This window comes from Homo sapiens, chromosome 2 (genome assembly GCF_000001405.40).
Source record: "Homo sapiens chromosome 2, GRCh38.p14 Primary Assembly".
NCBI lineage: Eukaryota > Metazoa > Chordata > Mammalia > Primates > Hominidae > Homo > Homo sapiens.
The window spans coordinates 49,346,397-49,370,429 of NC_000002.12; the positions used below are offsets into that span (position 1 = coordinate 49,346,397).

A 24,033-nucleotide genomic window follows, 5' to 3' on the forward strand; every position below is an offset into this window, starting at 1 on the left:
GGGACACAAAGACCCTGGGGGTTTACTCCATTTCCTCTATAGGCTTTCACTTAATTCTCTTGTTTTCAATATGGCATCTTTCTTCTGCCTTCCTATGTAACTTTATCAGTGGACTGGAGTCCCCCTTTGGTTCAATTTCGTTTCAGAATATATCTCTGATCTCCTTCCTGGATTAGAGAGAGTTGTTTGTGTAAGACGATTGAGGGGCCTCAAGGATAAAGCCTGCCTAATAGGCTCTCAACTACTTTTGTTTTTTCAGCCAATTCATGAGCATTTCTGGGATTCTGTAGCACAAATGTGTGGTCATCCCCATCTACTGTCACTTAGGATTCAGCCTTCTCCGTTTTAGTAGCTCTTATTTTTCCTTTCTATTGAACAAAATTTGACATCTCATATATTTTATTAAAAAATCTTTCCCAATAAATATTTTCAAATTTTTCTTGTGGATTTATGCCTCTTTTTGTGCTTTTCCTCTTGGTTTTGGGAAAATATGAATAAAAATGTGTTTTGTTTCAACATGTTACCAAAAGAAGGGTGCTTTTAAGTATAAGCTATAATTCATGTCATAAGGCCTTGACCAGCTTATGACAATAAGCCAATTTTATAGTTCATTTTCAGGTAGATATTATTAAGGCATGCAGTTCTAGCAGCTTAATTGCTGAAAATTAGTTTTCTAAAGAGCTCTTTCTGTGATTTCTCAAAGTATCGTTTCATTTAAGATCTGGAAACCCACAGTAAGCCAAACGGTACTATAGTACTGGTACAAAAACAGACACAGACCAATGTAACAAACAGAAAACCTTGAAATAAAGCCACACACCTACAACTAACTGATCTTTTACAAAATCAACAAAAATAAGCAATGGGGAAAGGTCTAACCATTAAATAATGCTAAAATAACTGGCCATCCATATATAGAAGAATGAAATTGGAACCCTATCTATCACCACATAAAAGATTAAATCAAGATGGATTAAAGACTTGAATGTAAGATGTTAAACTGTAGAAGTTCTAAAAGAAAACCTATGAAATACCCTTCTGCACATTGCCCCAGCAAAGAATTTATGACCAAGTTATCAAAAGCAATTACAACAAAAACAAAAATTGACAAGTAGGACCTCATTAAATTAAAAAGTTTCTGCATAGCAAAAGAAACTATCAACAGAGTACAGAGACAACCTACTGAATGGGAGAAAATATTCACAAACTATGCATCCAACAAATGTCTAATATCCAGAATCTATAAGGAATTTAAGGAATCAACAAGCAAAAAACAACCCCATTAAAAAGTGGGCAAAGGACATGAACAGACACTTCTCAAAAGAAGAGATACATACAACCAACAAACATGAAAAAATGCTCAACATTACTAATCACCAGAGAAATGCAAATTAAAGCCATAATGAGATACCATCTCACACTAGTCAGAATGGTTATTATTAAAAAGTCAAAAAGTAACAGATGTTGATGAGGATGTGAAGAAAAGGGAATGCTTATACACTATTGTGGAAATGGAAATTAGTGCAGCCACTATGGAAAGCAGTTTGGACATTTCTCAAAGAACTAAAAATAGAACTACCATTCAATCCAGCCATCTCATTACTGGTTATATAACCAAAGAAAAATTAATTGTTTTATCAAAAAGATACCTGTACTAGTATGTTTGTTGCAGCACCATTCACAACAGCAAAGTCATTGAATCTATCTAGGTGCCAATCAACAGTGAATTGGATAAAGAAAATGGCATACATATACATCACGGAATACTATCCAGCCACAAAAAGGAATGAGATCATATCCTTTGCAGCAACATGGATGCAGCTGGAGAGGATTATCCTAAGCAAATTAACAGAAAACCAAATAACTCATGTTCTCACTTACGAGTGGGACCTAAACATTGGGTACACATGGACATAAAGATAAGAATATTAGACATTGATGGGACAGGGAGCAGGGCAAGGAATGAAAAGCTACCTGTTGGGTAATATGCTCACTACCTGACAGGTTCAACCATACCCCAAACCTCAGCATCACATAGTATACCCATATAACAAATCTTCACATGTATCCCCTGAATCTAAAAAGGAAGAGTTGAAATTTAAAAACAAAACAAATAAAATCTTAAAACTGATCTGGAAACCTTGTTTTCCAACCAAATCTCTATTCTGATTGCCAGCTGCTCTCCTGAGAAGGCCATGGGGCGGGCAAAGCAGGTCTCTGCTGGGCAATCACTGGCCTCCTCACTCTGGCTGTGGAGATGACGGAGTTCTGCTTTGACCTCCCCAAGATATACTTCATGCTCTCCCTAACTCTCCATATACAATTGCAACCAGTGAAAAGAATTGAAAGATAATGTGATTGAAGTCTTGGATGTGACAAAGCTACAACATAGAGAAAAAATTATCTTCAAGAAGCTCACAGGTCTAAACCTCAAAGGTTCCCTTCTACGCTCCTGGTGTGCCATTACTGGGCTAGGGCCAGTTCACTCCCTATTTCTGGTCAGTTCCAGTATTTCAGAGTCCAGTGGAAACTGACCCACATTGCCCAGAGAGGATATTTTCCTTCCATATTTAAAGACAGCCTGATTTCTCCCCTTTTATGATTAACACTGATTTCAGGGGAAGCCCCCTCACTGTCACTCCCTAGAATGTGATCTGACTTCACAGACTTTAGGTTTCCAAAGACTGAACTATTCAGACTTCCCTCATGCCTATACAGAACACCAGCTAGCCAGTTCACACGGTGCTTGGCCAGGCTCATCAGTTCCTTTTCTGAGTCTTTACTTTAAATAAGCAAAAACAGAATAAGCCTTTCAGTCTCCTCTTGCTATAACTTTCTCTCTGCTTCTGATCAGAATACATAACCCAATTTTAAAAAGGGGCAAAACACACTTTAGCAAAGAACAAAGAAGGATGGCAGATGAATACATGAAAAAAAAGTGCAAAAACTTTAGTCATTAAAGAAATGTAAATAGAAACAACATGGATATCACCTCTTATCCACTAGAGTAGCTAAGATTCAAAAAACAGCAGAAACATCAACTGATAAAATCAAGTGCTGACAAAATTGCAGAACACTGGGTCTCTAACACATCACTAGTGGGAATGCAAAATGGTATCATCACTTTGGAAAACAGGCAGTCTCTTTTAAAGTAAGTATAAATCTCTACTCATAGTATGGTACCGTAGCCATCATATTCCTAGGTATTTACCCAAGAGAGTTGAAACTATCCATACAAAGATCTGAACATGAACATCTACAGCAGCTTTAGCCATAATTGCCCCAAACTGAAAGCACCCCAGACGTCCATCAGCTGGTGAATGGTTGAAAAGTTTGGATACATATCTACAGTGAGAGAGTACTTAGCAGTAAAAAGCAATTTTTAAAAAGCAGTAAAAAGCAACATGCTACTGATACAGGTAACAACAATGATGAATCTCAAAAACATTGTGCAAAGTGCAAGAAGCCTGACATGAAAGCCTGTATGATGCTGTATAATTTCATTTATATAACTTTCCAGAAAAGGCAAAACTTAAGGAACAGGATAGATTACATGTCAGTGGTTGTCAGCAGCTGGGAATAGGAGAGGAAATTGATTTCTAAAGGACATGAGGAAACTTTGTGGACTGACAGAAATATACTGTATTTTGATTGTGATGGTGGTTACATGGCTATATAGATTTGAAACTGGATAGTTCAGCCCTAATAGAGCAGCTTGAGATGAATGTAGCCCAGAAATGCTTGAGCAACCTCATGAGGGGCCTTGAGCTAGAACCACCTAATTAAATTGCCCTCAGATTCTTGACCAACAGAAGCCATAAGATAATAAATTGTTCTAAGCTGCTAAATTTGGGGGTAATATGTAATGCAACTATATATTAATCTATATTATATATATTCAATATATTAATATATTACACATTAAAGTTATCCATGTGTCATATTATTTATTATATATTATATAATGTTATATATTGATATATTATTATAACATATATTATGGTGTTTTTTTTTTTTTTTTTGAGACAGGATCTCACTCTGTCACCCAGGCTGGAGTGCAGTGGCATTATCTCAACTGCAATCTCTACCTCGTGGGTTCAAGTGAATCTCCTACCTCAGCCTCCTGATCAGCTGGTACTACATAGAGGTGCATGCCACCATGGCAGGCTAATTTTTGAGTTTTTGAGTAGAAAGGGGGTTTCATCATGTTGGCCAGGCTGGTCTCGAACTCCTGACCTCAAGTGATCCACCCACCTTGGCCTCCCAAAGTGCTGGGGTTAGAAGTGTTAGCCACTGCGCCCAGCCTTATAGTATATATTGTTTTAGTTAAGGTAGTGGACATGTCAGATTATGCTGGATTTTTAGGTCATACATATGTATTAACTATTTTTTTATATCTGCTTTATATATACATATATATATATATATATATATATGTATTAACTATTTTTTGTTATATACCATCTACTGGCCTATCTACCTATCTATCATTATTCCAACATAATCTGCACGGGCTTAGATCCACTGAAAAATATACACACTGTCCTTTCATAAACAAAATACTTACAGTTTAAGTCTGAAATATTATCATTTGTATGACTTTAGTTTTCTTCTTTTCCACAATTGTCTTTTATATGACTAACCTAAGGGGCTTGTCACAATGATTCCTTACGTAATTAAGAGAGGGGCTTTCTTCAAAATACAGTATAGCATTTGGCATAAAAAGCTACAGTTTTAAACTGGTCGTAATTTTTAAATGGCAGTACATTTATTCAATAATTGTTTTGTGAGCATCACTTCTGTTTGAGACACCAAGCCAGGCATAGAGGTTATACTGCTGTAGGACATAAACGTCATCTCCACCTCCATGAAACTTGTGGTCTAGAAGGGAAGAGAGACATTAAATGAATAAGCCAACAATTGAATATCATTGTGATAAGATGCCATGAAGGAGATAGGCAGGATGGAAATTTTTCAGTTTCAAAGATATCTTATGGTTTCTACCAATCATTTCTGTATACAGGAAAATATTAGTTGGTTCATGATTATAAAACATATTTATGCCCATTTGACATAAAAAGAGAAAAATTAAAAAAGATTTAGAGAAAAAAGTATAAATTACTCCAGAAAGCCTTGTGTCCTTTTTAATCTCCTTTACCCATGGAAGTGTTCCTTCCTTTTTTAAGCGGGAGAAACTGGTTCTGTGACTGACCCTACAACTGAGATTCCACATAAGCACCAGCTGTTAAATTGTGACCTACATCCTGCCCCACACCTTGATAGGCTGAATTAGTATGTTGATCTTTCTGTCAGCAGCCACACAGGTCTACTAACAGCAACCAGCAGTGATTTCTAACGGCCCTGAATGGCCTTCAAGTCGTTTATGAGGTTGGTGTGAGCTTAGGCAGTATGGTGAGAAATCAAAGAGGTGGTTGCCCTGGGACTGAGCTGCTGTTGTCTAGGCAACTTTATTAAGAACCTTCTGTTCCTGGGAAAACGAAGCCTAAATTAACTCTTGAGTTCTTACAACTAAGACTTTATTTCCCTATTGGTCTCTGGTATTTGGGAACTTTCTACAGTTTCCAATGGAATTCTTTTTACCTTGTTTGGGGCCCTAAAATATTTAGCAAGTGGTATTGGTTTTAAAGATCTCTTAATCCTTCATATACAATTGAAAACAAACTCTTTTACCATTCAGATGCCGGTCAATATATTTATAGAATTAGATCTAACTCCAAATTCAATGATCAATTTCTGATTTGACCTCCAATTCTAAGGCTTTCCATACTAAGAAAAACCCACAGAATGTGATTTTTTTTTAAAAGCATGTTTCTTCACCTAAGTATAATGTACAAAAAATCACGTGCATTTCCTAAGTTTCAGCAGTGGCAGCCTCACGTTTATAAATTACAGCATGCGATGAGATATGTGCTTCATTGGAAATCAACATACCTTCTTTCAATATTTCCAACATGGAGAGTTTCTTCTCCAGTGTTGGAACAGGAAGCTGTTTGTTCAGTTGAGGAGACAGGAATACTTGCTGTTTTATGTAAATATTTACTGTGCACCAGGGACTGTGTTAGGTACTTTGAAGGTATTAACTCATTTAATCTTCATAACAACCCTGTGAGACAAATGTACTCGTATCCTTATTTTTTAGATAATGAAATTGAGACACAGAGAGGTTAAGCCCAAGGTCACACATGTGTATAATTTGGAGACAGGATTTAAACTGAGGCATTCAGGCTCTAGAGTCTATGCTCAATCATTGTTCCAGGACTTCCCAAAGTGGCCAGCTTGTGCTTAGAAATTACAGTATCGGAAAAATTGCCACTTTTAAATACTGGAACACACTTAGCACACTAAATGCTCACACTACGAGAGGTGTATACAGGGACTAAGACCAAATTATAAAATTGCAGGTCAGACTCACATATCCCAGCTTAGTTTTTTTTAGGGCATATTCCCATTGAACCATTGAGTAAAATGGTAGGCTGGATTGTCAGCATTATGACATTCTCCCTCTCTCTGTCTTTTCCTTGACAAAGCATAGGCTCTGGAGTCCACTTTGAGTCTTGGCTTTATTTTATTTATTGTCTTTTTATATCAGTCCATTAGCTTTTTGATTTTCTCATCTATGAAATTGGCCTGCTATTCCCACCACAAAATTCAAAGGAGGTAGAATATGTGAATGTTATGTAAAATATAAAGCACAAAGAATTTCAGGAACTGATTTTTGCTGTCTATATGTGCAGTAGGTGACCACTTATCTGGTGGAATTTGAAATCTTCCACGAAGGTCTTGCTTTCTTCTAATATATCTCAGTTTTTTTAAAATCAGTGCCTGAAATCCCACCATTAATGAGCAATTAAGTTTTGAAGATTTTATTTTAAAGAACTGATTTTTTAAAAAGCTAATACTAATTACAGGCATAATTCTTAAACCTATTCTGCCAATACACTGGGGATTTTTCAACAGATAAACTGGCCCTGTAAGAGACAGTTAGTCACCAAACAGGAAGAGGACAATAGGAAAAGAGGAAACATACACTTTACAGATAGTACATTGTTGCTAAATCCCAACCTTGAATTATTTGAAAGCCAGATCTCTGTGTCTCTTAATAATGATACTGTGATAGTCTTTACATTTCTCTTATAGCAAATTTGATTGCAACATTCTCATTATAATCATATTTTTATTCATTTATTAGGCATGTATGTATGTATGCATGTATACTGAGCACCCACTCTGTGCCACACAGTTTAAGATGGAGCACATACAATGGTGGGTAAGAAAGATAATGTCTAGTGAGGAAAAGGGAATTGGGACCATAAGCAGGTGATGGTTGCACAGTGTGATGAGGGCTAAGGGAGGTGTTAAGTGCGGGATGCCCTGGAACCACATTGGAGGAAAACCTAACACTGCCTTTGAAGGTCAGGAATGCTTTCTCAGAGGAAGTGATGTCTATTGTAAGAACGGAAGCAAAAGGAAAAATTAGCCAGGCAAAGCTATGGAAGAAGGGGAAGTGGAGGATTGATGTCTCAGACTAAAGGAATGGTGCATTCAGTGTTTCTGAGTTGAAATACAGCAATATGCAGATTCAGAGAACTCAAAGTTCCCCAAATGACTTAAGCATAGAATGTAAAGATAAGAAATTTGGTTAAAAAGGTAAATGAAGATAAGGCCAATGAAGACCCGGTAACTCAAACTAAGATATTTGAATTTTACCATGATTTGTATTATTATTGATCTGGGAGGCCAGATTTGATTCTGCATCTTTCATGGTCCCCAGTGCTCTCTGATCTCATCTTCTACAACTTGTCCCTCTACCCACTGTGCTGTAGCCAGGTACACTCTCATGTTATCACCCGTGCACTTGTGTTCTATCAGTCTTGCCCCTTCCCCAACTCTTTTCCTTCAGGCCTTTGCTGAAATAGCAACTTCTCAGTTAAACCTTCTATGTTCCTCTGATTTTAAGATCAATCTTCCTTCCTAACCTTCTCTATCTGTACTCCTCCTCCTGACTTCCCCTCTCAATTGTATTTGCCACCTTTTGATAAACTATGTAATTTATTTATTTGTTTATTTACCTCCACTCCACTTCTGGTTAAAAAGGAGTTTAAAAATGTACCTCCACGAGGGCAAGGACTTTTGATTATTATGTCCCCAGGATCTAGAACACTCCCTGGAACATGGTAGGAGGTAAAATATGTATACTGCTGAATGAAAAAAGAAAAGATTTTTAGAATGGTTACTTTAACTTCAATGTGGAGATAGGATTGGTGGCAGGCCTGAACCAGAAAGGCCAGCTGGAAGCTACTGGAGAAATCAAGACAAGGGATGGTGGTGAACTATACCATGGATTCTAACAGTCTTTAAAAGTAAAATCAACAGGGCTTAGTGATTGATTGGGAATAGTGGTAGTAGAGGTGGTGATATGTTAAAAATAAGGAGGAAGAAATACTTAATAATGATGTCCCAGTATGACAGATTGAATTATTTGTAGAGAAATATTTACTCTCATCCCCATTAATGTTCGATTTGGCGCTGTGGCTCATTTTGGCCAATGGAATATTAGCAGAGCAATACGAGCAAAAGCCTTAAATGTCTTTGTTCAGTTTTGCATGGCTCTTGCACTCCAGTAATCTGGTATCTGAAGAAAATGCTCAGGGTAGTCATTTGTCCTTTCAGCCTTGGCCCCAGAAGATATATGGGTGGAGCAGACCTGGTCCCAACTAGTTGACTTGACTAGTTGAGCCACACTAGTTGATCTGTAGCATGAAGCAGAGCTGCCCAGCCAAGTTCATACAAGATCAGCCAAATGAAAATCAGCCTTTAGACCTACAGGCATGAGATTAAATGCTTGTATAAACCAATGAGTTTAGAAATAGTTGTTCTGGCTGGGCACGGTGGCTCACGCTTGTAATCCTAGCACTTTGGGAGGCCAAGGTGTGAAAATCACGAGGTCAGATGTTTGAGGCCAACATGGTGAAACCCTGTCTCTGCTAAAAATACAAAAATTTCCCAGGTGTGGTGGTAGCACCTGTAATCTCAGCTACTCAGGAGGCTGAGGCAGCAGAATCACTTGAACCTGGGAGGCAGAGGTTACAGTGAGCTGAGTTCATGCCCTGCACTCCAGCCTGGGCAACAGAGGAAGACTTTGTCTCAAAAAAAAAAAAAAAAGAAAAGAAAAGAAATAGTTGTCATACAGCAACATTTTGGCAATATCTCACTAATACACCCAGGTTCTGGCTTAGGCTAGTTGGTAGACAGTTGGTGCCTTCTACAGATATAGGAAATCAACAAAAAGGAGCAAGTTTAGAGGAAAGATATTCAGTTTAAATTTGGACATACTAGGTTGAAAGTGCTTCTGTGGCATCCAAATGCTTTTGTCATTAGACAGATGGATGATTTGGTCTGTAGCCTAGGAGTGAGAACTGACCAAGAACTATGTTTGGCAATCTTTAGAAAACAGCAGATGATGGAAGCAATGAAAGAGAGTTTTGAATGAGAAAAGACCCTAGGACAGAGACCTGAGAGGCAGTTCACTTTATAAAGGGCATACAAAGCTCTTTTGAGCTGAAGTACCTTTTAAAAAGCTGGGTTTTATATGCCGGTTGAAGGCAGCAGAGTGTAGACAGAGTACATGTTCCACGGTTCTGGTTTGGGGGCTAAATTCAGCAAGTGTGTCTTAGGTCCAGAGAGTTAGTTACACCTCACAGCTTCTCCGAGTTTGATTCTGTCCTGTTGGTCACATATGTCACAGCTCTCAACAGATACAACAATAAGCACAAAGGACTGAGAAGGCCAATTTATATTGCCTTTTTCTAGGCTATATGCAAAGGCCATTTCTAAAATCTTCGTTATGGAAACACATAACAAGTTGCAATTTCCTTCTGATTATTAGGAAGGACAAGGAAGGGCAGAAATGTTCTTCTCTGCTCAATGATCCATGCAGTTTGAACGATATCCATCGTAGGCAAATTCAAGGCAGAGATAAGTTGAGATGTATAGCTCAGCAGCTCTCATAAACGAATTTAGTTCAGGTTGAATTAAGGTGATCTGTGAAAATGTGTTCCAAAACGATTCTCTTCAGTATTGGGGACACCAAATCATTGTGAAAAATGGCTTAGCACTTTTGGTAAATGTTTCTATTATAGCCTCATAACTCTATAGAAGTTAGACTAGGGACCTCTAATGAGCTTATTGAAATGGTGACCACTAAATACTATTTAATATTTGCTGTCCTTTTCTGAAGGCAAAAATATCTCTTCATTATGTTTTTGCTGACTGTTCTCAGCTCTATTGTAAATGGGTAGAAAGACCATATTTTCCCGGCAGGGAAAAAACAGTCTGCTAAAGCTAGGAATTACAAGTGATTGTTCTTGGTGAATAAGGGTGATGGCACTTGAAAGAGACAGGGACTTTTTCTGCTGGAGAATTCTACAAGCAGCATTTTCAGATTTAACGGAAAATGTCAGGCGTCAGATTTCTCTCATTGTTTACTTATCAACCTAGGCCAAATTCAGCTTAGAACTACTTCAATCCCACTTTATAATGTGTTGCAGGGATCAAGGAGATGTTAAGGAGGCCAGGGAAGGTTTCAAGGCATGGGGCACTTCCGGAGGAGAACTAAAGAAGTATGATTTCACTGGCTACTGAAAGGGAAGGGATTAAGTCTCTACATTCAGTACAATTGGGAATCATTAAGTATTTCAAACATTTGGAAAGCATGAGAAGATTTACCTTTGGAAAAAAAGATCACTTGGGTAACTGACTGAAAGGAAGAAAGAGTTTATAAAAGTGAATCAGTTAGGACCCTATTGCAATTGAGTTGTCCAGGTAAGAGATACTGATAGGTTGTATGAGGGCAAAGATGGTGGTTATGTACATGAAAATATGTATTTGAGACATAATTAATATGTAATCTAGGCAGGATTTGAAAATAGATGCAGAACAAAGAAGGAAGTTGTAAGAATCACCTTAGGAGGCTGAATAACTCTGGAAGAGGTCCAGTTTCTACTAATTAGTTAGTTAGGGTGCAAAGTGGGATAAGTTGGTACAGAAAGATTATTGACTTGGTTTTGGACATTTTAAGAATAAAGTCTTATGAAGACATCAAGGTGTAGAAGTACAGTAAGCAGGTGAATATACTGGTCCGAACTGCAGGGGTAGTCTAGCCTGGATATAAAGATTGGTGAGGATCCTGCATTGGTGGTAATTAAAGCTAAAGGAATAAATATATTCTTGTAGGGGGAGGATACTGAGTAAAGATCTTGGACAGGACTGAGGACCTACAAAATTTAATGCTTAGGAGAGAAGGAGATGTCAGAAAAGGGGGATAAGCAGTGAATAGGAGAAGAAGAAGGACAATGAGATATCTCAGAAGCAAAGGAATGAGTGTTGTAAGAAGGATGAAGCATCAGCAATATCAAGTAAGATCAGAATTGAGACACATCCCCTGGATTCAGTGACATGGAGACATTTTGTGAAACAATGAAGAAAAGAAAGCACATTTGAGTAGAATATGGGCAGTGAGTACATGTAACGCCTTATGAAATTTGACTCTGCAAGGAAATAGAGAGACAGGGTATTAGATGAATCAGGAGGGAAATGGCATGTCAAGAGGGGTTTTTGTTTACTTGTTCTTTATATGGGGGACACTTGATCATGTTTAAAAGTAAATAGATTAAGAACAATAATGAGGTAGGAGAAATAATTTTCATTATTTCTAAATAATGGAAATTATTTAGAAAATGGTATAGTTCAAGGGTCTAGCAAGGACTAAGGTAGATCAGGGAGTGCGCACTGAAGATGGAGTGGCAATGTGGGTCACTGGAGGAGGGAGTCAAGGAAATGAATGGTCAGCGGGTTGGACCGGGAATTCATGTGGATGATAAAGTGCTCAGATTTATAGCAGGACTTGGAGTGAAGGGCTGTGGACCAAGTACCAAAGTCTATAACTCATAAGAGCACAATCAAACACGTGATAAAAGACAGCAATGAGGAAGGGACAGAGTGGTATTGCTGTATGGCCTAGAAATCAAAGCAGCAGAAATTTTCATTAGAGGGTCAAAGCAGTGGTAGAGAGTAAGGAAGACGCCTCCACCTTTGAAGCCTAAGGTCACAACTGAGAGGGCTGTACGAGAAGTAGGATCTTCAAGGAAGGTGCATATTCAGTTAAAACCAGTCGCCAGGCGCGGTGGCTCACCCCTGTAATCCCAGCACTTTGAGGGGCTGAGGCACGCGGATCATGAGGTCAGGAGATTGAGACCATCCTGGCTAACACAGTGAAACCCAGTCTCTACTAAAAATACAAAAAAAAATAGCCAGGCCTGGTGGCGGGCGCCTGTAGTCCCAGCTACTCGGGAGGCTGCGGCAGGAGAATAGCGTGAACCTGGGAGGCGGAGCTTGCAGTGAGCCGAGCTTGTGCCACTCACTGCACTCCAGCCTGGGCAACAGAGCGAGACTCTGTCTCAAAAACGAAAACAAAAAAAAAAAAACAAAAAAAAAACCAGTCATCCTGAGGATGCTCAAGGGTGAGACTGGGTTTTGGGGGTATTTTTACTATATGTGGAATAGCAGACCCACTAGTTACTATGAAAGGTTTAGCATTCCAAAAATAATAATTATCTTATAAAGTATCTTTGCTAAATACTTAAAACTTAAATACTAAAAACAAGTATACATAGTAAATTTTTAAAAATTAATTTCTCAAAACTTATCTAAATTTGCTTTTGGTCAATTCAAATTGAGTTTTTAAATTAATAAGTCCTATTTCTCTGTATGCTACACTTCAGAAACAAGTTGTTTCTGTCTGCGATATTAGTGATCTTGCTATTTTCTTAAAACTGGAAATAATCATAATTACATTTTCCCTAAACATTATACATGGCATATCTAATTGTGCCACCGGAAGACTTCATCAAACAGCCACTCTAATAAGGAAAGCATAGCTTTTATTTGAATGGGGATTTTCAGTGCACTCAATGCCAACGTGCATGGTAGACTGTGATGTAAAAATGCAAGGCTGTGCTTCACCCTGAACGCAGTGGGTCTTCTACATGGATAAAATTTGGTAGCTGTCCAATGGCTCCCTACAGTTGCCCACAATAACCAGAACCTCAAGAACCCTTACCAACTCAACCAAGCGGGAGGATTGAAAGGCAAAGTGTTAGCACCCAGATGGGTATACTTTTTATTATTGTTACTTCTATATCTATCTGTATTCATTTTTCTTCCTTGGAATGTACTCAGCTCTATTCTGGGGAGCTTAGAGAATCTTATCCTCTCATCAGAAAGTTGATGAAGGAATGAGAGATGCTGTGGAATGGGCAATTTTAATTAGAGACATTTGAATAACATGGAAACTGAGGACAGAATTTATAAAATGAGTTACTTGTTGAACCAGAGATTTCTAGATCTCAATTTGCCAGTTAGCTTTGGGCCTTAACATATCATATAGTGTCATTTTCAATTCCATTTTAAATGCCTAGAAGTGCTTTATTCATAGACACCTATGTTGCCAACTATCTTTTTAGAAACTGGCTCCAATTTTTTCCCCTCTCTCCAATACATAACAAGCATGTATGCTATAACTTGCCAAAAAAGAAACAGGCACCCATTCCTATAAGATTAGCTCTAAAAAGCTACAATCATCACAGCCAGTGATAAAAACTTCTATTCCTAATTGGCTACGGGGATTAGGGATATAGTTCTTGAGACCTGAAAGTCACACAGACACTGGAAAAATGAAGAGAATGGTAATTTTCCAGTGTCCCTAATTAAAGCCATCTGTGTTTCCCCAGTGTGGTTCCCCTAATGTATTCTAATGCAAAATATCCTCTCCCCTTGTTTATTTTGGAACACAGCTGTTGTCTTAATTGAGCCTAACAGATAATGGAAATACTGTTGCTTTCCTTCCCCTTCTTCAAACCAGCAGTTTGTGGGATTTGAGGGAGATGGAAGGGAATCTTCTTTACTGCTGGGAATCTATATGTTCGTTTTAATTCTCCAAATTTATTTAGTTTAAAAAACGGGGATGGAATATATATGTATAGATGTGTGCACATACATGTGTGTATGCAACTTCTCTTGGAAGTTGAACTTTGGATAATTGCTTTCCTCTGAAGTCTTTTAATAGATACTTTTTCCCCACATTGTTATCACGTGATACATTCAGTGATTTCAGTTGGACTTACAAAGATTTTTTTTCTAGCATTTACCTTCTCCAAACTGAAGGAGGTACAATAATAAAGATTGGTTGGTTTGCACTTTTCCCACTTCCTACCCATTCCACCTGCCCACCTCCCCCACCCCAAAGTCATTGCATGCTACTTTGAGCAAGTTAAACTATTTCAAATTCCATTGTTGTCTTGATCTCTAGCAATTTACTTATATCATTACAGGATATTTCAGACTTCTGTAATTTAGTTTTTGCGGGCATGAAACATAAAATCTCATGGGCTGTCATGAATGAAAATAATGCAACTTTTAAAAACTAATAGCTCAGAATTTGCAATTTTAGAAAAATATTTTTATTAAGTCCCAAAAACAGTTCTATAGGAGCTTCTTTTTCCTATACATTTTCACTTCACACCTTTTTCTTGTTCATTAGATAATGAGTTTTAAATTATTTTCTATTGGGAGAATAAAAAGACAAGTCAGTCTTTTCTACAGATTTTTTTAATTACTGTAGTTAGTGTGATACATGAAGAGTGTGATTTCACACACAATTGTAATTACTGTTTTGAACATGGCTATAAATTTGTGCTGTAAAATACAGAAATTCCAAAAAATTTATATTGCATGAGTTTCAGCAAAAAAAGAAAAAAGAAAATGTATGGGGTTCCATACACAATGTAACTAGTTCTGGACTTGACCTCCTGCCATAAACTATAACACTGGACAAAATATAAAGGACTGACATTGACAATAGGAAGGACTGTAATTCCTGGAAGGACATCACAAAAAATGTGCCTCACATTCACCATGGCTTTCTGATTGAGGCTAGTTTCCTGATTCTGGCAAGAGGTAGAATCCAGGCAAAAACCTAATGAGTGGTATTCCTTCGGTGAGAAGGCAGATATGGAACCCAGGAGTGCTGAAGTCCATGGAACTTTCCAGGGAAGATATAGGAAAGGAGAGAATTCTGTATATGGGGGAACCACAGAAATTGCGTGGAGTTTCCTGTAGGACCTTAGTGAAGGCCTGGGCTGCATAGGTATGGAGTGAGACCCCTTGACTACTAGCAGAGAACAGCCAACATGGAGTGAAAAGTGAAATAATGATACTAAGGGTCACACAATGCTGGCAGAAATAAGTGCTCTAGCCCAGTCAGAATGGTAAAATCCTGTAAAGATCCATTCTTTTACCTAAGACACCAGAAAGGGCACCCCTTTGCAGTAAGAACACCCTAGAATAAGGGCAACTCTAGTGAAACTTAAAACCAAACCTCAACAGGATCATAGAGAGTTGCCAAAAATATTAACTCCCTGGCCCCCAAAATAAAACAAAAAAATAGCAGCAGCTCAATACTCTTCAAGTTGAGATTTGGGTGGGGACACAGCCAAACCATATCATCCCGCCCCTGGCTCCTCCAAATCTCATATCTTCACATTTCGAAACCTATCATGTCTCCCTAACAGTCCCCTAAAGTCTTATCTCATTTCAGCATTAACCCAAAAGTCCACAGTCCAAAGTCTCATCTGAGATAAGGCAAGTCCCTTCTTTCTGTGAGTCTGTAAAATCAAAAGCAAGCTAGTTACTTCCTAGACACAATGGAGGTACAGGTATTGGGTAAATATAGCCATTCCAAATGGGAGAAATTGGCCAGAAAAAGGGGGTTACAGGGCCCATGAAAGTCCAAAATCCAGCAGGGCAGTCAAATTTTAAAGCTTCAAAATGATCTTCTTTGACTCCAGGTCTCAAATCCAGGTCATGCTGATATAAGAGGTGGGTTCCCATGGTCTTGAGCAGCTCCACCCCTGTGGCTTTGAAGGGTACAGCTCCCTCCTGCCTGCTTTCATGGGCTTGTGTTGAGTGTCTGTGGCTTTTCCAGGTGCATGGTACAACTGCCGGGGGATCTAGTATTCTGGGGTCTGGAGGACGGTGGCCCCCTTTTCATAGCTCCACTAGGCAGTGCCCCAGTAGGGACTCTGGATTGGAGCTCCAAGCCCACATTTCCCTTCTGCACTGCCCTAGCAGAGGTTCTCCATGAGGGTCCAACTCCTGCAGCAAACTTTTGCCTGGGCATCCAGGCGTTTCCAGACATCTTCTGAAATCTAGGCAGAGGTTCCAAAACCTCAATTCTTGACTTCTGTGCACCCACAGACCAAACACCACACATAAGCCACCACAGCCTGGGGCTTCCACACTATGAAGCCATAGCCTGAGCTGTACACTCACCCATTTCAGCCATGGCTGGAGAGGCTGTGACACACGGCACCAAGTCCCTAGGCTGCACACAGCATGGGGACCCTGGGCCCGGCCCATGAATCCACTTTTTCCTCCTGGGCCGCTGGGCCTGTGATAGGAGGAGCTGCTGTGAAGGTCTCTGACATGGCCTGGAGATATTTTCCCCATGGTCTTGGGGATTAACACTAGGCTCCTTGGTACTTTTGCAAATTTCTGCAGCCAGCTTGAATTTCTCCCCAGAAAATGGGTTTTTCTTTTCTATCGTATAGTCAGGCTACACATTTTCCAAACTTTTATGCCCTGCTTCCCTTATAAAACTGAATGCCTTTAACAGCACCCAAGTCACCTCTTGAATGCTTTGGTGCTTAGAAATTTCTTCCACCAGATAACCTAAATCATCTATCTCAAATTCAAAGTTCTACAAATCTGTAGGGCAGGGCCAAAATGCTGCCAGTCTCTTTGCTAAAACATAATAAGAGTCACCTTTGCTCCAGTTCCCAACAAGTTTCTTATCTCCATCTGAGGCCACCTCAGCCTGGACCTTATTGTGCATATTGCTATCAGCATTTTTGTCAAAGCCATTCAACAAGTCTCTGGGAAGTTCCAAACTTTCCCACATTTTCCTATCTTCTTCTGTGTTCTCCAAACTGTTCCAATCTCTGCCTGTTACCCAGTTCCAAAGTTGCTTCCACATTTTCGGGTATCTTTTCAGCAATACCCCACTCTACTAGTACCAATTTATTGTATTAGTTCATTTTCATGCTGCTGATAAAGACATACCCTAAACTGGGAACAAAGAGAGGTTTAATTGGACCTATAGTTCCATGTGTCTGAGAAGGCCTCAGAATTATGGCAGGAGGTGAAAAGTACTTCTTACATGGTGGCAGCAAGAGAAAAATGAGGAAGAAGCAAAAGTGGAAACCCCTGATAAACCCATCGGATCTTCTGAGACTTATTCACTATCACAAGAATAGCACAGGAAAGACCAGCCCCCATGATTCAATTACCTGCCCCTGGGTCCCTCCCACAACACGTGGGAATTCTGGGAGATATACTTCAAGTTGTGATTTGGGTCGGGACACAGCCAAACCATATCACCAGGTATAAAGATGAGTTGAAGAAAGTAAAATATAAACTGGTACAATATTAATTCTATGTAGACTTTGATAAGAATACAACCACTAAAGAGTAATAAAAAGAGACATTACTAAAAACTAAAAAGCCAGTATAGGAAATAAAGTGGAATACAAAGGATGCTTAACTCAAAGACAGCCTCAAACAGTGTAAAATAGTGTAAAAATAGTATAAAAAGAATAGTGTAAAAAAAGACATAAATAGAAAAACTAGCAAATTGTTAGACTTAAATCTGACCATAACAATATTACATTGATATGTAGTAAACTAAATACTCCAGTTGAAGTTAGATATTGCTAGACTAGATAAAATAGCAAGGCCCAAACATATAAAAGGGAAACACTTTAAATATAATGATGGAGATGGTCTGAAAGAGTAATAATATGTCATGTAACAGCATAAGAAAGAAAAAGAATATTACACATAAAGATGACCATTTCATAATGATAAAGAGAGGCTAATTCAATGAAAAGACAAAATAATTATAGATTTATATGTAACTAAAAATAGAACTTCAAAATTTTTAAAGCAAAAATGGACAAAACTAATGGAAGAAATAAGTCAATCCATAATCACGGTGGGGAATTTTAATATCCTATTATCACTAATTGTTAGATGAGCAGTCAGAAGAATTCATTGTCAAAAGGATATAGGGGATCTGAACAATACAATCAACTCAGTGGATCTGATTCACATATTCAGAATACTAAACCCAGCAGTTACAGAGCACAAGAGCACACATTTTTTTTAAAGTCTCAACATTCTTGAAGATAATTAATTCTTGTAGACTATGTTCTTTAACCATAATGTAATTAAATTAAAAATTAATAGCAATAAGATACTTGTAAATTTATCAAGTAATTAGAAATTATAAAACACTTCTAAATAACTCAAACCTCTATAATGAGTCAAAGAATAAATCACTTGGGAAGTCAGAAAAACTTTCAAACTGAATGATAATGCAAATATAACTTTACAATTTGTGATGCAGCTTAAGCAGTTCTTAGAGCTATGTGTATAGGTATAAATGCATATTTTACAAAAGAAAATAAGTTTAAAATTAATAATCTATATTTGTACATTAGAAAGCTAAGAAAGAAAAGGATATTCAAATCAAAGTAATCAGAATAGAGAGAATAAAGATAAGAACAAAAAACAAAGTAGAACAATAAACAAAGTCAACAAAAATAAAACTTGGTACTTTGAAAAGATTACCAAAATTCACAAATCCAAGCAAATCTTAATAGGAAGAAAAGAGGAAAAATACAGATTGCCCATATGAGATGGAAGAAAGAATCCACTACAGATTTCAGAGCCATAATAAAAGGATGGTAAAAAATATTGTGAATAACTTTTTCAATAAATTCAATAACATAGGTGTAATGGAAAAGTTACTTGAAAGTCCTTCTTGCTAATACTTATAAAGGTGAAATCAGAAATATGATTATTATTTTTAGGAATGAAATTGAATCCATAATCAAAACCTTTCCTGTTACTATAACTTCCCATGTAATATAACATGATTTCATTAGTAAACTTCATCAAACATATAAAGAATAGAAATCTTAAACTCTTCAGATAAAGGAAAAAAGGAATACTTACCCATATTTTTTATTATACCAAAAACTGTCAAAGGCATTAAAAGAAATCAGTATCTTTTATAAACATAATAAAAAATCTTAAAAATCTTAGAAAATTGAATCCAACAATATATAAAAAGGTAAAATGTCACGATCTATCAAGTGGATGGATCTAAGATACAAAAACTTCTAATAATACAAAAATTTCAACATTAATCATTAGTCAACACTAATCTAAGTTAATAGAATAAAGGAGAAAAAAAATCTTATTATTGTCTCAATAGAAGCAGTAAAAGCATGTTACAAAAGTCACTTGGGATAAAAGTTTCCAGCAAATTAAAAACCAAAAGAACTTTATCCATTTAATAAAAGGGATCTGTGGATATATTGAATGCTTTTCACTAAGACTGGGAAAAAGCAACAATGGCCACCCTTAACCATTTTATCTAGTATTATCTTGGATATTCCAGCCTGTATAATAAGGCAAGGAAAGGTGTAAGGATTAGAAACATATTTTCTATATGTTCTTTCATATGGAAAATATTAAAGAATATCTCAAAGTTATGAAAATTAGTAAGTGAATTTGATGTTACAATATACATAAATGAACAAACAATTGGCAAATAAGGTTCTTATAATAGCAAATAGCAAATATTAGATTTTTAACAAACAACAAAATATGTGCAAAATCTCTATAATGAAAACTATAAAATATTGCTGAGAGAATTTAAGGACCACTTACAAAGTAGAGAGATATACCATATTTGTCAATTACAAGATACTGTTAAGATATCAATTCTTTCCAAATTGACCTATCTATGCAATTCCAATCAAAATCCAAGTGGGCATTTTAAAGAATGGGAGCTAATGAAAAAATGAATTGCTCTGCGTAAAGTAATAGAAATCTTCTGTTAAAAAACAAAAAACAAAACAGCAAGAAACCGATGAAAATGACAACTGACAATGAGTCTTCTTTTCCATGAGACAATAGAGGTGATGGGGTCTATGTCAAACTGAAGAGCACACTTGTCTCAGAAGGGTCACACCTACTGATTTAGTGTTACTTGATGTGTCGAAATGGTAGTGGCCAGTATTATGAATTTCTGACTTTTCAAAGGAAGCTAGAAATTATTTATGTGAAAGTTTCTAATTTCAATTTTCAGAATACTTCAACCCATTTTTTCTAACCATAAGAATGGGAAAAATGAGATGTCTGAGAATCTGAGGTTCATATTCCATCATTATGTGTTCTGGTATAGACTTTAAGAGATGGTAGTTTTGTAAAGAAAATAGCCAATGGGAGATAAGGTTGAGTTGGAATTTAAAGACCTAAGCCCATAAATTTTAATATGTATTGAATACTTTCTTTGTATCAGGAAGTAAATGTAGGAACTACTTGTATTTTTGAAAAGGAAACTGAGTCTTCAAAAAGTAGCACATACAGGGAAGAGCTGGTGTTTAAACTCAAGTTCGTATGATTCTTGAGCACAAACTGTCAGCCACATAACTCTGTTTCTCCCCAGTCCTTAGTAGGTGTCTGGAAAAAGTCCAAGTTAAGGAAGCAGCACAAGTAAGGGGTGGAACTTAGAACTCAGCACAAAGCATACCTCTTATCTTATCTGTGTTGTTTCCTCCCAATTGCCACCATCAATTGCCACCATCAAGAACAGCACAGCTTTGTGTTACCATGTCAGGACCAAGACAATCAGCACACTTACTCTTTGCATTGAGAACATCCTCCAGGAATGTCATTCATTGTTTAAGACTTATCACTGTCTCTGCAAGCAAAGCTCATAGTCTCAGCTGACCTCAGTGAACACAGTAATTTCCAGACATGAAACTAATAATCTACTTGAGCATTTGTGAGTCCAGTGGAGTGAACTGCATTACCCACTCCCATGTGTGATTAAAATCAGAACAAGAAGACAGGCTCAGGAAGCATAGTAAAGCCCAGGGACACACAGGGGGATACTGGTTATGCTTTCCAGCCTGCCTGCCTCCCAGGTCTTCCACCTCCATCACTTCCTGGGAAACTCCACCACCTCTGCAAGGATCCTAATGTGGTTCAGGGGAGGAAGACCCAAGGACAGAGAATGTTGTTCCAAATAAAGATGGATCCTTGTCCTCAGAGAGCCAAGGGGACACTCCTGCTCCCAGAGGGCTCTAACTAGATAAAAACAGAGTTGAGTTGGTATGTATTAGTATAGCATGCTGGTAGGCAATCCATAGACAAATGTGGATGCCTAGTCATCTCCAGTACACATGGGGTCTTGGCTTGCCAAGATGCACTGCTGGTACCTTCCTTTCCTTAATGCCTCCCTCCTGTTCCTTGCTGCATCCACCTCTTTATTCCCCCAAGTCTTACGTGGGAAATATCAAGAACAAAGGCAAAGCAAAAATAGTCCTGAGATGTTTGAAAAATACCACTAAGGGAAAGACTGTAGAGTGTGTTTGCTCAAGGCAGTTTTTTAAAATAATGTTAATTCAGTGGACTAGTCTTCAGAACATTCACAGCTAGTGGATAGAACACACACTGCTGTAATATAGTAAGTGCCACACAGAGATCTATACCCAGTGCTTTCCTTACCCCCACTTCCAATTGGCTTCAGGCAAAATTAATCGCACTCTGGAAATCCTCATACATTGAAGTTGGGGACAGGACAACACAGCTTGAGCTCTGCACATGCCAAGAGGGCAATTTTCCAGCCCCACACCCTACTCAGTTGTGCAATGCAAACTCATCTATAATTTCCTACCTAAACTGGAGCTGTTTCAGTGGGAGGACTTTATTCCCTGTGGTTTTTAGTACATTTTGACTTTCACTGCCATGAGGTGACTTCTCTTAGTTAAGCCAAGCAGAGGCATCTCACTATTTGATTGGCATGTGCCTTCACAGGAGAGTGAGCAAACATCCTGGACAGCAAAGGAATGATGCCTGACTTGCAGATGTTTCATTTTGATGGAGGGTCTGATGCTTTACTGCTCCAACTCTTCCTGTTTTGTGGGAGAAGAGATGAGCTTCCCAGTTAGATGAGTCTGGGTTTGAATCACAGTAATGAATGTCCTTGGGCACATTATTTAAACTCACCGAGCCTTAGTTCCTTCACATGTAAAATTATGACAATAATACTTGCACTACTTAAATCATAGAGTTGTTGTGAGTAGTTAATGAAACCATGCCCACAAGCTACTTAGCACAGGACCTAAAACATATGAATTTTCAGTAAAGGTTATTTATTGCACCAACTGCCACCCACTCACACATAAGAGATGTTCAATAAACACTGTGCAAAATCAACAAGGGAAAAAGACAAAATGAGAACATGCAAACATACATCCTTCAAAGCTGAAGTTACACTTATAAAGTAAACTCATTGCATACGTTCTTCTCAAAGCCACCTTCCCTGGGACAGAGAGGCTATATGGTGCACTGACAGGAAACTAAGAGGAGCCACCTGGCATGGCTGACTCCTGCTTTGTTCAAGAATGGAAACCTTTAGTTGTGCTGAATTTGTGAGATTTGCCATCTCTGGATGCACAAACACAAAACACAACCACATAATGCAGTGTGGAAATTAAGTATGATACGCTATATCAGTTCTAGGCACATTAGTGGAGATTGAAAATGGTTTCACACTTAGACATTTTCAATGGATGATAAATAGGGTTAATGGATTGTGACTGAAATACTTCTGCCCTCTTAAATCTTCCAGGAAGCTTTTAAAACTGGTAAATACATATTCTTCATGATGGCTTGCTAAAGTCTGCTCTAATTCAATTTCAAGCTGCTTAGGACTGTGCAAAATGCAAAAACCTGCTTGCAGAAACATCCAAACGTTGGCACTTTAAAAAAATTGAAAATGATGCTTTAAATCATTAAGCTTCCTAGAGTTTTTTGAAGTCCTATACATTAGCATTGGCCTGGTGATATTCTTTTAAGAATAGAATCCAAGGATAGTATTTTGTTTGCCTGTTTATCTCTGGAAGTTTTGGAATGCTCAGGCATATTCCTTGGATTGATTTGTGTAATGCTCCACATATGTGGAAAGTCAAAGAGGGATTTTGAGCCATGGATCTTGTCATCTTGTAGGATGCAAGGTCCCGCACTTTAAGACACTTAGTCGTGAGGGAACCAGGCTCACTTGAGTCAAAGGAGGAATAAGACAGACAGTTAGCACTGCCACGCTGTGTAAAGTTACCCACCATTGTTTCCTTAGTATAACTACAAAGGCTTGACAAACATATTCCATGAAGAGCATTATGATCCAGTTATCTTTACCAAAGTATTCAGTAGTTACCTGCTGTGTTGCCCTCTAGTGATAACGAAGAAATCATCAATGGCAAGAAACTAGTAGCTGTGACATCTCAGCAGGATAGATAAAACACCAGGAACAAAGAAGAAATCGGAGGCAGCTGCAGTTTGCCATGGAGCTGGTGAGCCCAAGATGGAAAGGATGTAAGGAAAGAACAGCGAAGCATGAGAAATATTAAGACACGAAGCACACAATTCAAGCGGAGACTAGATAGGTGTGTCTTAACTTCCCCAAACATATTACCTTTGAGGCAAAAAGGGAACAAAGTCATTATCTTTTAACCCACATCCTGGGGATTGTAGAAGTTTTTCTACTGGAAGACCAACATAGCTGTGCATTACAGAAGCATGCTTTAATTTGGGTGGGAACTCTGGTTTCAAGCCACTTTCCAGCTAGACTGGCTTTTCATTTCTGTTTTTTAAATTTTTTCTTGTCTTGAGATTTTAATTGTATCTTTTGAAAAGGGGAATAGTCAAATCTGCTGCACAAGACTTCTTTTCTATATTCAGTGAGACAGAAATGTTTTATAAACTTCAGTTCTACACAAATGTCAATCATCTACACTAACACAATCATTAATTTCTCATTAG

At 37.9% G+C, this 24,033-nt stretch overlaps 1 long non-coding RNA gene across 1 annotated transcript in view; it reads left to right on the forward strand.

Moving 5' to 3' along the window:
- The window catches only part of LOC105374595 (uncharacterized), a 62,809-nt gene extending 39,152 nt beyond the window's left edge, over window positions 1-23,657 (forward strand). Inside the window, exon 3 of the long non-coding RNA XR_001739461.2 lies at window positions 23,448-23,657. This is a non-coding gene — a long non-coding RNA (uncharacterized LOC105374595). The remainder of the gene's footprint in view (window positions 1-23,447) is intronic.
- The last annotated feature ends 376 nt before the right edge of the window (window positions 23,658-24,033 follow it).